The sequence below is a fragment of the Homo sapiens genome, chromosome 8 (genome assembly GCF_000001405.40).
Source record: "Homo sapiens chromosome 8, GRCh38.p14 Primary Assembly".
Classification (NCBI taxonomy): Eukaryota; Metazoa; Chordata; class Mammalia; order Primates; family Hominidae; genus Homo; species Homo sapiens.
In genome coordinates this window covers 67,350,817-67,367,922 of record NC_000008.11, presented here as the reverse complement: position 1 = coordinate 67,367,922, position 17,106 = coordinate 67,350,817, and the positions used below count along the sequence as shown (strand labels likewise).

The window sequence follows — 17,106 nt, the reverse complement described above, 5'->3', positions numbered from 1 at the left end:
CTAAAATGCATTTATTTTATAAGTTGTTCCTGATACTTACACAACTGTAGATGCAATTAGCAAACAGGAAGGTTTTCTACACTACAATGTAGTGTGGACATGTATGGAGAGTTTCAAAGCAGCTACAGTTACCTTGTATTTTATAAAGTGGCATTTCAATCAAGTTCCAAGTCAAGGAAGATAAGGGACTGAGCAGTAATTGCAACAAACACCCTGAATTTGGTTTTTTCCCCTCAATATTTAAAAATGTATATTCAGGAACATCTAACTATTGACAATGAGAGACCTACTGCAAGCCTCCAGACCACCCCCCACCAAAAAAAAAAAAATCCACAGATATCCCCAGGGCAAATAATATCAAATGATAAACCCCTGGTTTAAGCAATTTTTGTTCAGGGGAAATTATATTAAAATAAACACCAAATAGAGCCTTGAAAGAGATAAAAACTAAAAAAGAAAATGCCTGAGGGGAGAATTTCTTTAACGATGATAGGGCTGAGCTGGTTATGAGATCTGCTATGACCTGAACTGTGTCCCCTGCAATCCCAAATTCGTATGTTGAAACCCTACCCTGCAATGTGATGGTATTTGGAGACAGAGCTTTTAGGAGATAATTAAGATTGAATGTGATCATGTTACTGGAAAGGGGTCCCAATCCAGACCCCAACAGAGGGCTCCTGGATCTCCTGCAAGAAAGAATTCAAAGCAAGTCCATAGAGTAAAGTGAAAGCAAGTTTATTAAGAAAGTAAAGGAATAACGAATGGCTAATCCATAGGCAGAGCAGCAGCATGGGCCGCTGGTTGCCCATTTTTATGGTTATTTCTTGATTGCATGCTAAACAAGCGGGTGGATTATTCATCAGTTTTCTGGGAAAGGGGTGGGCAACTCCTGGAACTGAGAGTTTCTCCCCCTTTTAGACCATATAGGGTAACTTCCTGACGTTGCCATGGCATTTGTAAACTGTCATGGCACTGGCGGGAGTGTCTCTTAGCACGCTAATGTATTATAATTAGTGTATAATGAGCAGTGAGGATGACCGGAGGTCACTTTTGTCACCATCTTGGTTTTGGTGGGTTTTGGCCAGCTTCTTTTTTTTATTTTTTTAGATGGTGTCTTGCTCTGTCACCCAGGCTGGACTGCAGTGGAGCAATCTTGGCTCACTGCAACCTCTGCCTCCCAGGTTCAAGCGATTCTCCTGCCTCAGCCTTCCGAGTAGCTGGGACTACAGGTCTGTGCCACCACACCCGGCTTTTTTTTTTTTTTTACATTTTTCGTAGAGACAGGGTTTCATCATGTTGGCCAGGCTGGTCTCAAACTCCTGACCTCAAGTGATCTGCCCACCTCGGCCACACAAAGTGCTGGATTACAGGGGTGAGCCACTGCACCCGTTGGCCGGCTTCTTTACTGCAACCTATTTTATCAGCAAGGTCCTTATGACCTGTATCTTGTGCTGACTTCCTATCTCCTCCTGTGACTCAGAATGCCTTAACCTCCTAAGAATGCAGCCCAGAAGGTCTCAGCCTTATTTTACCCAGCCCCTATTCAAGATGGAGTCCCTCTGGTTTAAATGCCTCTGACAGTCATACATGTGGGATCCTAATGCAACGGGATTGGTGGCCTTATAAGAAGAGGAAGAGGAAAGAAATCTCTCTCTCCATTGAGCATGACTGAGAAAAGGTCATGTGAGGACACAGTGAGAAGGCATCTGCAAGCCAGCAAGACAGCCCTCACCAGAAACCGAGTCAGCCAGCATTTGATCTTGAACTTCTCAAACTCCAGATCTGTGAGAAATACATTTCTATCATTTAAGCTACCCAGTCTATGGTACTTTGACATGGCATCCTTCACAAATTAAGACAGGATAATTTCTTCATTCATTAACTATCTTCATTCATTAACTTCATTCATTAACTATCCCTCTTTTAGGCACTAGAGGTGTGGCAATGACCAAAATAAAGCTCCAGCCTTTGAGGAGCTTATATTCTACTAGGAAAAAAAAAACAAGCAAGTTGACAAATAAAATAGTATTGTGTGAGAAATGATAAGTGATTGGGGAGAAATAAAGCAGGGTAAGGAGGATGGAGGGGTGGGGAGCAGCTATTTTATGTAGAGTGGTCAAGGAAGGCCTCGCTTATCAGATGATGCTTAAGCAGAGACCTGAAGGACATGAGCTTTGGGTTATCTGGAGGAACAGGATCCTGGGCAGAGGGAACAAGTGCAAAGGTCTGGAAGCAGAACATGCTAAGTTCAGGGAATAGCAAGGAGGCCAGTGTATCTGGACCTGAGCAAGCCGGGGGAGAGTAGTAGCAGTTGAGTGACCACGGCAGGAGCTGTGTTGTGTAGAGCCTTATAGGTCTGTGTTAGGGCTCTGGCTCTAATTCTGAGTAAAATGAGAAGCCATTTGTCTTAATCCATTTTGTGTTGTCATAACAGAATACCACAGACTAGCTAACTTATAAAGAAAATAAATGTATTTCTTATAGTTCTGGAGGCTGAGAAATCCAAGAGCATGTTGCCAGCACCTAGCGAGGGCCTTCTTGCTGCATCATCCCATGGCAGAAGACATACAGCAAGAGAGCCCTGTGTGAGAGAGAGCAAAAGCGCAAGGGGGCCTGAACTTTTCTTTTCTTTTCTTTTTGAGACAAAGTCTCATTCTTTCACCCAGGCTGGAGTGCAGTGGCGTGATCTCGGCTCACTGCAGCCTCTGCCTCCTGGGTTCAAGCGATTCTCGTGCCTCCTCAGCCTCCAGAGTAGCTGGGACTACAGGCACATGTCACCACCCCGGGGAATTTTTGTATTTTTAGTAGAGACAGGGTTTCACCATGTTGGCCAGGCTGGTCTCAAACTCCTGACCTCAAGTGATCTGCTTGCCTTGGCCTCACAAAGGGCTAGGATTATAGGCATGAGCCACTGCACCTGGCCTTGAATTCACTTTTATAACAAGTCTATTCCCATGATAACTAATTTACTCTTGCAATAACGACATTAATCCACTCCTGACCTAATCATCTCTTATTAGGCCCCACACCCAATACTGCTGCAGTGGGGATTAAGCTTCCAACACGTCAATTTTGAGAGATATATTCAAATCACAGCACCACTGAAGGGTGTAGAAGTCATGAGTGATATGATTTGACTTCCATTTCAGAAGACACATTCTTATTGTTGGATAAATGGTGGTGGGATGGGGGGAAAAGTAGAAGCAGAGAGACTTGACTGAAAGTGGATAGATGGCTATCGAGAGTTTTAGTCTATTTTGGTTTGATTTTTGAGACAGCTAATGGTTTTATCTTTTTGCAGGCCTAGAACGGTTATTTTTTTCATATTACTGGGTTATTTAAAAATTAAATAGAAAATATATTACATTTTTATTCACACTCAGGAGCTATGATTTCTCTTTGACTTTAGGTTCTAGGGTATTTATAAGATTTCCATCAGTTCTCAACTTCATGGAAGTCTGCTCAGTGCCCTTTTGCTCTCTATCCTGAAAAACCATCAATTTGCCTAATATCCTAGGGCTACTGGCATTGTCTTTATCCAACTCCATCCTGCCTGTTGCAGCAGTACTTTAAAGTGCATGTAAATCCTCTGGCAGAACCTTGTTAAAGTGCTGATTCTTGATTCTATAGGTGTAGGGTGGGGCACAATGATTCTGCATTTCTAGCCAGCTCCTGATGCTATTGATCCTTGGACAACACTTTGAGTAGCAGTTATCAGAGTACTGGAAGGATCCTACACACTTTAGGCATTCTTTTAGTGAAGAAAAAAATCAGACAAATGTGTACAATGAGAAATTTATTCTTCAGTGCATTTCTACTGAGAATGCTGGACCCCAAGAAGAAAATGGACTTATTGTTTCTTTTTTTCCCAGGCAATTAATTTTTTTAAATGTAGACACTCTTTGTTGAACAAATAGAAAGTAATTTTCATTTGTTTTTGTAATAGGTAAAGCATTCACAGGGTTCAATATGTAAAATATATAAAATGGCCACCAGTGATATATCCCAACTGTTACCCCTGAATCATGTAATTACCCATTCTTCTGTTCCTTTGTATTCTTTAAGGGTTTTTTTTTTCCTGAGAGACAGAGTCTTGCTCTGTTGCCCAGGCTGGCGTGCTGAAGGGCAGTGGCACAATCATGGCTCACTGCAGCCTCAAACTCCTGGCTCAAGCAATCCTCCCACCTCGGCCTCCAGAGTAGCTGGGACTACAGGCACACGCCACCATGCCTGGTTAATTTTTTCACTTTTTTTGTATACACAAGGTCTTGCTATGTTGCCCAGGCTGGCCTGGAACTCCAGGCTTCAAGACATCCTCCCACCTTAGCCTCCCAAAATGCTGGGATTACAGGTGTGAGCCACCTTGCCCACATGATAGTCTTTTTTTTTTCTGAGACGGAGTTTTGCTCTTGTTGCCCAGGCTGGACTGCAATGGCGTGACCTCGGCTCACTGTAACCTCTGCCTCCCGGGTTCAAGCAATTCTCCTGCCTCAGCCCCCCGAGTAGCTGGGATTATAGGCGTGCGCCACCATGCCCGGCTAATTTTTTGTATTTTTAGTAGAAACGGGCTTTCACCATGCTGGTCTGGAACTCTTGACCTCAGGTGATCCACCAACCTTGGCCTCCCAAAGTGCTGGGATTACAGGCGTGAGCCACTGTGCCTGACCGATAGTCTGTCTTATAAGTAAATACACATGTATGTATCTATGTGTGTATGTATAAGTATAAAATTTTCCCATTTTGCATAAATAATAGCATGTTTTGCCTACTATTCTCATTTGCTTTATACACCTAATATATTAAGATATCTGAGATCATTCCATACCAGTACATTAAAAGCATCTTCATTCTTTATTACAGCTACATAATATTCCATTAGATGGATGTACCATAATTTATTTCACTAGTCTCAAAATATAGTTTTAAATTAATATAATTGCAATCGAGAACTCTAAAAACAAATTATAATCCAGTTGTCCAACCACAGAGGAAACATATTTATAAACAAGATGAATACTAAATTATTATTCTTATAATGAATTTAATATTTTCTTAAATATTTCAAAAACTTAAGACTTAGCTCCTCATCAGTGGTGACATTTTAAAAAAGAAAATAATACTGACTTATTTCAGTATGTAAGGGATTCCGTTGGAGTTATGAATGGTATGTTAGGAAATTTCAGAAACTCTTTAGGTTGAAACAATGATAAATCACCAAAAAGAGCTTTGAATGTATGTGTTAGTAGAGTTCCAAAAAATGTAACTTATTGCAGTGGAATCATTTATGTGCCTCAAGAGCCTTACTTGCTTATAGGTGAGTGGAAATGTGTATAATTATCCAGAAAATTCAGTGCATGTCGTAGCTGGATAATTTAGCCTCTTTACTAACCAGACCCTCCTCCCCTCAATACTGCTTACATTTTTCTACTACTTGGCATAGCAAACCTGTGTTTCTTTTAAATTATAAAATAAAAACATCTAGAATTAATCATCTCTCTCTGCCTTATATTCAGTGGGTTCTGATTTAGCAGTCCCATAGAAATAAAAGTGATATTTAGTGGTACTGAAAATAAAGTTTAAAAATATATTATCATAGAGTAAAACTGATGTATTTTTGTGAACAGGTCTATGAATTTACACACACAGATGTATGGATTTCTACACCATCACAACCAGAATAGAGAATATGTGGCCGGGCGTGGTGTTTTACGCCCGTAATCCCAGCACTTCTGGAGGCCAAGGCGGGCAGATCATAAGGTCAGGAGTTTGAGACCAGCCTGGACAACATAGTGAAACCCCATCTCTACTAAAAATACAAAAATTAGCCAGGCGTGGTGGTGGGCGCCTGTAGTCCCAGCTACTGGGGAGGTTGAGGCAGAAGAATCGCTTGAACCCAGGAGGCAGAGGTAGCAGTGAGCTGAGATTGCGCCACTGTACTCCAGCCTAGGCGACAGAGCGAGACTCCATCTCAAAAAAAAAAAAAAAGAAAAAAAGAGAATATCCTCATTACCCCAGTCCCCTAAATTACATTACATCTCTTTATAGACACCTCCTACCTCCACATATGATAGGTGATAACCACTGATGTTTTCATCTCTATAGTTTGGCCTTTTTCAGAATGTCACAGAAATGAATAATATAGTATAAAACCTTTTGAAATTATCTTCTTTCACTCAGCAAAATGCTTTTGAGATTCATCCAAGTTGTTGCATGTATCAATAATTTGTCCTTTTATATTGCTCAGTACTAGAACATTGTATAAATATGCCAGTGTTTGTTTATCCATTTACCCAAAGAAAGACAATATTTGAATTGTTCCCAGTTTTTAGTGAGTATGAACAGAGTTGCACATATGTGTACATGTTTTTGGGTGAACATAAGTTTTAATTTCCCTAGATTACGTAAATATCTATCGTTAGGAATGCTGAGTCACAGGTTAAGTGTTAGTTTAACTTTATAAGCAAGTACCAAAATTGTTTTCCCAACTTGTACCATTCTGCATTTCTGCCAGCAATGCGTGAGAGTTCAGATTGATCTACATCCCCTCTGGCACTTGATATTGCAGCATTTTTTATTTCAGCCATTTTAATAGGTGTATAGTAGTAACTCATTGTGGTTTTATTTTGCATTTCCTTAACAGGTAATGATGATGAACATTTTTTCTTATGCTTGTTTACCATTCTACATCCTCTTTACTGAAGTGTCCAACTATTCTACCAATTTTTAAGTTGGGTTGCTTGATGTTTTTATTGTTGATTTTTGAGAATTTTTGAAAATATGTACTCTAAATACAAGCCATTTGTCAAATATGAGATTTTCAAAATTTTCTCCCATTTTATAGCCTGTCTTTTTTTGCTCTTAATACTTTACAGAGCAAAAGTTATAAATTTTGTGAAGTCCAGTGTATCAATTTTTTTCTTTTATAGATCATGCTTTGGTGTTATCCCCAATAACTTTTTGCCTAACACCAACTCATGAAGATTTTCTCCTATGTTTATTTATCAGAGTTTTATAGCTTTACATTTTACATTTAGCTCTATGATCTACTTTTTTGTATAAAATGTGATATTTAGATTGAGGCCCTTTCTTTCACATATAGATATCTAATGGTTTCATTATCGTTTCTTGAGAAGATTATCCTGTCTTCACAGAATTGACTTTGAACCTTTGTCAAAAATCAACTGACTATACACACAGACACACACACACACAGACACACACACACACATATATATATTTTTGAGAGAGGGTCTCACTCCCATCGCCCACGCTGGAGTGCAGTGGTGCAATCATGGCTCACTGCAGCCTCGACTTCCCAGGCTCAGGTGATCCTCCCACCTCAGCCTCTCAAGTAGCTGGACTACAGGTACTCACCACTGTGCCTGGCTAATTTTTTGTATTTTTTATAGAGAGGGGGTTTTGCCATGTTGCCCAGCCTGGTCTCAAACTCCTGGGCTCAGGTGATCCCGACTGCCTTGGCCTCCCAAAGTGCTGGGATTACCAGCATGAGCCACTGCACCTGGCCACAACTGGCTATGTTTCTGTGGGTCTGTATCTGGACTTCTATTCTGTGATCAATGTGTCTATCCCCCAGCCAATACTCTAGTGTCTTATTGAAACTTTATGTTGTCTCAACATTGGGTATTGTCATTCCTCCAATTTTGTTCTTTTTAAAAATTGTGGCCGGACGCGGTGGCTCACGCCTGTAATCCCAGCACTTTGGGAGGCCGAAGCGGGTGGATCACAAGGTCGGGAGATCGAGACCATCCTAGCTAACATGGTGAAACCCCGCCTCTACTAAAAATACAAAAAATTAGCCAGGCGTGGTGGCGGGCACCTGTAGTCCCAGCTACTAGGGAGGCTGAGGCAGGAGAATGGCGTGAAACCGGGAGGCAGAGCTTGCAGTGAGCCGAGATTGCGCCACTGCACTCCAGCCTGGGTGACAGAGCAAGACTCCATCTCAAAAAAAAAAAAAAAAATCGTATGACTTTTCTAGTTACACTGCCTTTCCATGTACATTTTAGAATCAGCTTGTGTATAACCACGTAATTGGAATTCTGCTAAACCTACAGACCAATTGACATCTTCCAATCCATGAATATATGTCTCCCTGTTTATTTTAGCTTTTATTCTCCTCATCAGCATATTTTGAAAATAATTATTTTAATTTTTGTGGGTACATAGCAGGTGTAAATATTTATGTGGTACATGAGATGTTTTGATACAGGGATGCAATGCATGATAATCACATCATGTAAAATAGGGTATCCATTCCCTCAAGCATTTATCTTTTGTGTTACAAACAATCCAATTATACTATTTTAGTTATTTTTAAATGTGCAATTAAATTATTAGACTATAGTCACCCTATTATCGAATACTAGGTAGCATTTTGTTTTCAGCATATGGATTCTATACATGTTTTGTTAGATTTATAACCAAGTATTTCATTTTTTGGCTTTAGTGTAAATAGAGTTTTTTAAAAAAAATTTTAGTTTCCAGTTGTACATGACAATATATAAAAACAGAATTGAGGCCAGGTGCAGTGGCTCACACCTGTAATCCCAGCACTTTGGGAGGCCGAGGCGGGCGGATCACAAGGTCAGGAATTTGAGACCAGCCTGGCCAACATGGTGAAACTCTTTCTCTACTAAAAAAAAAATACAAAAAATTAGCTGGGCGTAGTGGCGGGTGCCTGTAATCCCAGCTACTTGGGAGGCTGAGGCAGGAGAATCACATGAACCCTGGAGGTGGAGGTTGCAGTGAGCCAAGATTGCGCCACTGCACTCCAGCCTGGGTGACAGAGCAAGATTCTATCTCAAAAAAAAAACAAAAAATAGGACTTTACCAAGATGGCCGAATAGGAACAGCTCTGGTCTGCAGCTCCCAGTGTGATCAACACAGAAGATGGGTGATTTCTGCATTTCCAACTGAGGTACCTGGTTCATCTCACTGGGACTGGCTGGACAGTGGGTGCAGCCCATGGAGGGCGATCTGAAGCAGGGCGGGGCATCGCCTCACCTGGGAAGCACAAGGGGTTGGGGGATTTCCCTTTCCTAGCCAAGGGAAGCCGGGACAGACTACCTGGAAAAACGGGGCACTCCCACCCAAATACTGCACTTTTCCGAAGGTCTTAGCAACCAGCAGACAAGGTGATTCTCTCCCGTGCCTGGCTTGGTGGGTCCCACACTCACGAAGCCTTGCTCACTGCTAGCACAGCAGTATGAGATCGATCTGTGAGATGGCAGCCTGGCTGGGGGAGGGGCATCTGCCATTGCTGAGGCTTGAGTAGGTAAAGAAAGCAGCCGGGAAGCTCTAACTGGGCAGAGCCCACCGCAGCTCAACAAGGCCTACTGCCTCTAGACTCCACCTCTGTGGGCAGGGCATAGCTGAACAAAGGGAGCAGACAACTTCTGCAGACTTAAACATCCTTGTCCGACAGCTCTGAAGAGAGTAGCAGTTCTCCCAGCACGGCGTTTGAGCTCTGAGAATGGACAGACTGCCTCCTCAAGTGGGTCCCTGACCCCTGTGTAGCCCAACTGGGAGACACTTCCCAATAGGGGCCGACAGACACCTCATATAGGCAGCTGCCCCTTTGGGGCGAAGCTTCCAGAGGAAGGATCAGGCAGCAATATTTGCTGTTCTGTAGCCTCCGCTGCTGATACACAGGCAAACAGGGTCTGGAGTGGAACTCCAGCAAACTCCAACAGACCTGCAGCTGAGGGACCTGACTGTTAGAAGGAAAACTAACAAACAGAAAGGAATAGCATCAACATCAACAAAAAGGTCATCTACGCCAAAACCCCATCTGTAGGTCACCATCATCAAAGACCAAAGGTAGATAAAACCACAAAGATGGGAAGAAACCAGAGCAGAAAAGCTGAAAATTCTAAAAATCCGAGAGCCTCTTTTCCTCCAAAGGATCATAGCTCCTTGCCAGCAATGGAACAAAGCTGGACGGAGAATGACTTTGACGAGTTGACAGAAGTAGGCTTCAGAAGGTTGATAATAACAAACTTCTCCGAGCTAAAGGAGGATGTTTGAACCCACTGCAAGGAAGCTAAAAACCTTGAAAAAAGATTAGATGAATGGCTAACTAGAATAAACAGCGTAGAGAAGATCTTAAATGACCTGATGGAGCTGAAAACCATGTCATGAGAACTTCATGATGCATGCACAAGCTTCAGTAGCAGATTCGATCAAGTGGAAGAAAGGGTATCAGTGACTGAAGATCAAATTAATGAAATAAAGCAAGAAGACAAGGTTAGAGAAAAAAGAGTAAAAAGAAATTAACAAAGCCTCCAAGAAATATGGGACTATGTGAAAAGACCAAATCTAAGTCTGATTGGTGTACCTGAAAGTGATGGGGAGAATGGAACCAAGTTGGAAAACACTCTGCAGGGTATTATCCAGGAGAACTTCCCTAAACTAGCAAGGCAGGCCAACATTCAAATTCAGGAAATACAGACAACACCAGAAAGATACTCCTTCAGAAGAGCAACCCCAAGACACATAATTGTCACATTCACCAAAGTTGAAATGAAGGAAAAAGTGTAAAGTGCAGCCAGACAGAAAGGTCGAGTTACCCACAAAGGGAAGCCCAGCAGACTAACAGTGGATCTCTCGGCAGAAACCCTATAAGCCAGAAGAGAGTGGGGGCCAATATTCAACATTCTTAAAGAAAAGAATTTTCAACCCAGAATTTCATATCCAGCCAAACTAAGCTTCATAAGTGAAGGAGAAATAAAATCCTTTACAGACAAGCAAATGCTGAGAGATTTTGTCACCACCAGGCCTGCCTTACAAGAGTTCCTAAAGGAAGCACTAAACATGGAAAGGAACAACCGGTACCAGCCACTGCAAAAACATGTCAAATTGTAAACACCATTGATGCTATGAAGAAACTGCATCAATTAACAGGCAAAATAACCAGCAAACATCATAATGAAAGGATCAAATTCACACATAACAATATTAACATTAAATGTAAATGGGCTAAATCCCCCAATTAAAAGACACAGACTGCCAAATTGGATAGAGTCAAGACACATCAGTGTGCTGTATTCAGGAGACCCATCTCACATGCAAAGATGCACACAGGCTCAAAATAAAGGGATAGAGGAAGATCTACTAAGTAAATGGAAAGCAAAAAAAAAGCAGGGGTTGCAATCCTAGTCTCTGATAAAACAGACTTTAAACCAACAAAGATCAAAAGATACAAAGAAGGCCATTACATAATGGTAAAGGGATCAATTCAGCAAGAAGAGTTAACCATCCTAAATATATATGCACCCAATACAGGAGCACCCAGATTCATAAAGCAAGTCCTTAGAGACCTAAAAAGAGACTTGGACTCCCACACAATAATAATGGGAGACTTTAACACCCCACCATCAATATTAGACAGATCAATGGGACAGAAGGTTAACAAGGATATCCAGGACGTGAACTCAGCTCTGCAACAAGCAGACCTAATAGACATCTACAGAACTCTCCACCCCAAATCAACAGAATATACATTCTTCTCAGCACCACATCACACTTATTCTAAAATTGATCACATAATTGGAAGTAAAGCACTCCTCAGCAAATGTAAAAGAACAGAAATCACAACAAACTGTCTCTCAGACCACAGTGCAATCAAATTAGAACTCAGGATTAAGAAACTCACTCAAAACCGCACAACTACGTGGAAACTGAACACCTTGCTCCTGAATGACTACTGGGTAAATAACGAAATGAAGGCAGAAATAAAGATGTCCTTTGAAACCAATGAGAACAAAGACACAACATACCAGAATCTCTGGGACACATTCAAAGCAGTGTGTAGAGGGAAATTTATAGCACTAAATGCCTACAAGAGAAAGCAGGAAAGATTTAAAATCGACACCCCGACATCACAATTAAAAGAACTAGAGAAGCAAGAGCAAACAAATTCAAAAGCTAGCAGAAGGCAAGAAATAACTAAGATCAGAGCAGAACTGAAAGAGATAGAGACACAAAAAACCCTTCAAAAAAATCAATGAATCCAGGAGCTGGTTTTTTGAAAAGCTCAACAGAATTGATAGACCGCTAGCAAGACTAATAAAGAAGAAAAGAGAGAAGAATCAAATACACACAATAAAAAATGATAAAGGGGATATCACCACTGATCCAACAGAAATACAAACTACCATCAGAGAACACTATAAACACCACTATGCAAATAAACTAGAAAATCCAGAAGAAATGGATAAATTCCTGGACACACACACCCTCCCAAGACTAAACCAGGAAGAAGTTTAATCTCTGAATAGACCAAGAACAGACTCTGAAATTGAGGCAATAATTAATAGCCTAGCAACCAAAAAAATCCAGGACCAGACAGATTCACAGCCAAATTCTACCAGAGGTACAAAGAGGAGCTAGTACCATTCCTTCTCAAACTATTCCAATCAATAGAAAAAGAGGGAATCCTCCCTAACTCATTTTATGAGGCCAACATCATCCTAATACCAAAGCCTGGCAAAGACACAACAAAAAAAGAGAATTTTAGACCAATATCCCTAATGAACATCGATGCGAAAATCCTCAATAAAATACTGGCAAACTGAATCCAGCAGCACATCAAAAAGCTTATCCACCATGATCAAATCAGTGTCATCCCTGGGATGCAAGGCTGGTTCAACACCCGCAAATCAATAAACGTAATCCATCACATAAACAGAACAAATGACAAAAACCACACGATTATCTCAATAGATGCAGAAAAGGCCTTCGACAAAATTAAACAGCGCTTCATGCTAAAAACTCTCAATAAATTAGGTATCAGTGGAACGTATCTCAAAATAATAAGAGCTATTTATGACAAACCCACAGCCAATATCATACTGAATGGGCAAAAACTGGAAGCATTCCCTTTAAAAACCAGCACAAGACAAGGATGCCCTCTCTCACCACTCCTATTCAACATAGTGTTGGAAGTTCTGTCCCAGGCAATCATACAAAAGAAAGAAATAAAGGGTATTCAATTAGGAAATGAGGAAGTCAAATTGTCCCTGTTTGCAGATGACATGATTGTATATTTAGAAAACCCCATCGTCTCAGCCCAAAATCTCCTTAAGCTGATAAGCAACTTCAGCAAAGTCTCAGGATACAAAATCAATGTGCAAAAATCACCAGCATTCCTATACACCATTAATAGACAAACAGAGAGCCAAATCATGAGTGGACTCCCATTCACAATTGCGACAAAGAGAATAAAATACTTAGGAATCTAACTTACAAGGGATGTGAAGGACCTCTTCAAGAAGAACTACAAACCACTGCTCAATGAAATAAAAGAGGACACAAACAAATGGAAGAATATTCCACGCTCATGGATAGGAAGAATCAATATCATGAAAACAGCCAAACTGCCCAAAGTAATTTATAGATTCAATGCCATCCCCATCAAGCTACCAATGACTTTCTTCACATAATTGGAAAAAACTACTTTAAAGTTCATATGAAACCAAAAAAGAGCCCGCATTGCCAAGACAATCCTAAGCAAAAACAACAAAGCTGGAGGCATCATGCTACCTGACTTCAAACTATACTACAAGGCTACAGTAACCAAAACAGCATGGTACTGGCACCAAAACAGAGATATAGACCAATGGAACAGAACAGAGACCTCAGAAATAACACCAGACATCTGCAACCATCTGATCTTTGACAAACCTGACAGAAACAATAAATGGGGAAAGGATTCCCTATTTAATAAATGGTGCTGGGAAAACTGGCTAGCCATATGCAGAAAGCTGAAACTGGATCCCTTCCTTACATCTTATACAAAAATTAATTCAAGATGGATTAAAGACTTAAATGTTAGACCTAAAACCATAAAAACCCTAGAAGAAAACCTGGGCAATACCATTCAGGACATAGGCATGGGCAAGGACTTCATGACTAAAACACCAAAAGCAATGGCAACAAAAGCCAAAATTGACAAATGGGATCTAATTAAACTAAAGAGCTTCTGCACGGCAAAAGAAACTACCATCAGAGTGAACAGGCAACCTACAGAATGGGAGAAAATTTTTGCAATCTACCCATCTGCCAAAGGGCTAATATCCAGAATCTACAAAGAACTCAAACAAATTTACAAGAAAAAAAAACAAACAACCCCATCAAAAAGTGGGCAAAGGATACAATAGACACTTCTCAAAAGAAGACATCTATGCAGCCCACAGACACATGAAAAAATGCTCATCATCACTGGCCATCAGAGAAATGCAAATCAAAACCACAATGAGATACCATCTCACGTCAGTTAGAATCGCAATCATTAAACAGTCAGGAAACAACAGATGCTGGAGAGGATGTGGAGAAATAGGAACACTTTTACATTGTTGGTGGGAGTGTAAACTAGTTCAACCATTGTGGAAGACAGTGTGGCAATTCCTCAGGGATCTAGAACTAGAAATACCATTTGACCCAGCCATCCCATTACTGGGTATATACCCAAAGGATTATAAATCATGCTACAATAAAGACACATGCATATGTATGTTTATTGCGGCACTGTTCACAATAGCAAAGACTTGGAACCAACCTAAATGTCTATCAATGATAAACTGGATTAAGCAAATGTGGCACATATGTACCATGGAATACTATGCAGCCATAAAAAAGGATGAGTTCATGTCCTTTGCAGGGACATGGATGAAGCTGGAAACCATCATTCTGAGCAAACCATCACAAGGACAGAAATCCAAACACCGTATGTTCTCACTCACAGGTGGGAATTGAACAATGAGATCACTTGGATACAGGGCGGGTAACATCACACACCAGGGCCTGTCAGGGGTGGGGGCTGGGGGAGGGATAGCACTAGAAGAAATACCTAATGTAAATGATGAGTTGATGGGTGCAGCAAACCAACATGGCACATGTATACCTATGTATCAAACCTGCACGTTGTGTACATGTACCATAGAACTTAAAGTATAAATAAAAATTAAAAAAACAATTCATTTTCATTCACTGACTTCATATCCTGTGAAGTTGTTAAACTCAATTGTAAGTTCTAGGAGGTTTTTTTGTAGGTTCCTACATATACAATTACGCTGACTGAATAAGGACAGTTTGTTTCTTCCATTCCAGCCTGTGTGCCTTTTCTTTTCCTTGCCTGATTATACTGGTTAGGACTTTCAGTATACTGTTGAATAGGAGTCTTGAGAGTAAACATCCTTGCCTTCTTTCCATTCACGGCATTCAAATTTTTGCCATTAAGTATGTTGCCTGTTGTTGGTCTTTTTGAAGATATTCTTTATCAGGTTGCGTATGTTTACTGAGAGTTTTCAGCATAAATGGATGCTGAATTTTATCAAATGCTTATTCTGCATCAAATGACGTCATCAGGTAGTTTTTCTTTTTCTCTCTTTTTTTTTTTTTTTTTTTTTTTGAGACAGAGTCTCACTCTGTCGCCCAGGCTGGAGTGCAGTGGCGTGATCTCAGCTCACTGCAATCTCCCCTTCCTGTATTCAAGTGATTCTCCTGCCTCAGCCTCCTGAGTAGCTGGGACTGCAGGCACGTGCCACCATGCCCAGCTAATTTTGGTGTTTTTGGTAGAGACGGAGTTTCACCATGTTGGTCAGGCTGGTCTCGAACTCCTGACCTTGTGATCTGCCCACCTTGGCTTCCCAAAGGGCTGGGATTACAGGCTGAGCCACCGCGCCAGGGCCAGGTAGTTTTTCTTTTAGTCTGCTAGTGTAGTCAATAACCTTTCTTGCTTTTCCTTTTTCTTTTCTTTTTTTTTTTTTTTTTTGAGACGGAGACTTGCTCTGTCACCAGGCTGGAGTGCAGTGGCGTGATCTCGGCTCACTGCAACCTCTGCCTCCCGGGTTCAAGTGATTCTCCTGCCTCAGCCTCCCGAGTAGCTGGGACTACAGGTGCGTGCCACCACGCCCAGCTAATTTTTGTATTTTTAGTAGAGACGGGGTTTCACCATGTTGATGGTCTCGATCTCTTTACCTCGTGATCCACCTGCCTCAGCTGGCATTACAGGCGTGAGCCACCGCTCCAGGCCCCTTAGTTGCTTTTCTAACAGTGCCCCAGCTAGCATTCCCAGCATGAACCTCCTGTTGGTTGTGGTGTATTATTCTTTTAACAGTTTGCTGATTTTGATTTGCTAATATTTTGTTGAGGACCTTTGCATCTATGTTCAGGAAGGATATGAATCTGTAGTTCTGTCCTGTTTTTATTTAATTTTGCTGGCCTCATACAATAAGCTGAAAAGTGTTCTCTTTTCTCTGAAAGAGATGGTGTTATTTCTTCTCTAAATGTTTGATAGAATTCAGGAATGAAACCATTTGGGCCTGAAAATTTCTTTTTCCAAAAGTTTTAAAGTAAACTAAAAATTCAATTTCTTTAAAAGGCAGGCTTTTTTTTTTTTTTTATGTGTTAGTAGCTGTTTACTGTGTTACTATACAGCTTTTTTTTTTTTTTTTAAATTGATCATTCTTGGGTGTTAGTCGCAGAGGGGGATTTGGCAGGGTCATAGGACAATAGTGGAGGGAAGGTCAGCAGATAAACAAGTGAACAAAGGTCTCTGGTTTTCCTAGGCAGAGGACCCTGCGGCCTTCCGCAGTGTTTGTGTCCCTGGGTACTTGAGATTAGGGAGTGGTGATGACTCTTAACAAGCATGCTGCCTTCAAGCATCTGTTTAACAAAGCACATCTTGCACCGCCCTTAATCCATTGAACCCTGAGTGGACACAGCACATGTTTCAGAGAGCACAGGGTTGGGGGTAAGGTCACAGATCAACAGGATCCCAAGGCAGAAGAATTATTCTTAGTACAGAACAAAATGAAAAGTCTCCCATGTCTACTTCTTTCTACACAGACACGGCAACCATCCGATTTCTCAATCTTTTCCCCACCTTTCCCCCCTTTCTATTCCACAAAACCGCCATTGTCATCATGGCCCGTTCTCAATGAGCTGTTGGGTACACCTCCCAGACAGGGTGGTGGCCTGGCAGAGGGGCTCCTCACTTCCCAGTAGGGGCGGCCGGGCAGAGGCACCCCTCACCTCCCGGACGGGGCGGCTGGCCGGGCGGGGGGCTGACCCCCCCACCTCCCTCAA

General features: G+C 41.4%; 1 long non-coding RNA gene across 2 annotated transcripts in view, besides 2 other annotated features; it reads right to left on the bottom strand.

The window, feature by feature from the left end:
- ARFGEF1-DT (ARFGEF1 divergent transcript) overlaps positions 1-17,106 on the bottom strand; it is a 148,035-nt gene that overhangs the window by 123,946 nt on the left and 6,983 nt on the right. The gene's annotated exons all lie outside the window — the stretch shown is intronic.
- Positions 1,363-1,772: a transcriptional cis regulatory region, noted in NCBI's record as "candidate enhancer chr8.1934 targeted for multiplex CRISPR interference". NCBI's record gives its function as "positively regulates ARFGEF1 gene expression with high confidence in K562 cells {active_cell/tissue: K562}" and the evidence as "EXISTENCE:mutant phenotype evidence [ECO:0000015][PMID:30612741]".
- Positions 2,095-2,389: a silencer, noted in NCBI's record as "tiled region #12286; HepG2 Repressive non-DNase unmatched - State 23:Low, and K562 Repressive DNase matched - State 5:Enh". NCBI's record gives its function as "represses a minimal TATA promoter and a strong SV40 promoter by Sharpr-MPRA in HepG2 and K562 cells {active_cell/tissue: HepG2 | K562}" and the evidence as "EXISTENCE:reporter gene assay evidence [ECO:0000049][PMID:27701403]".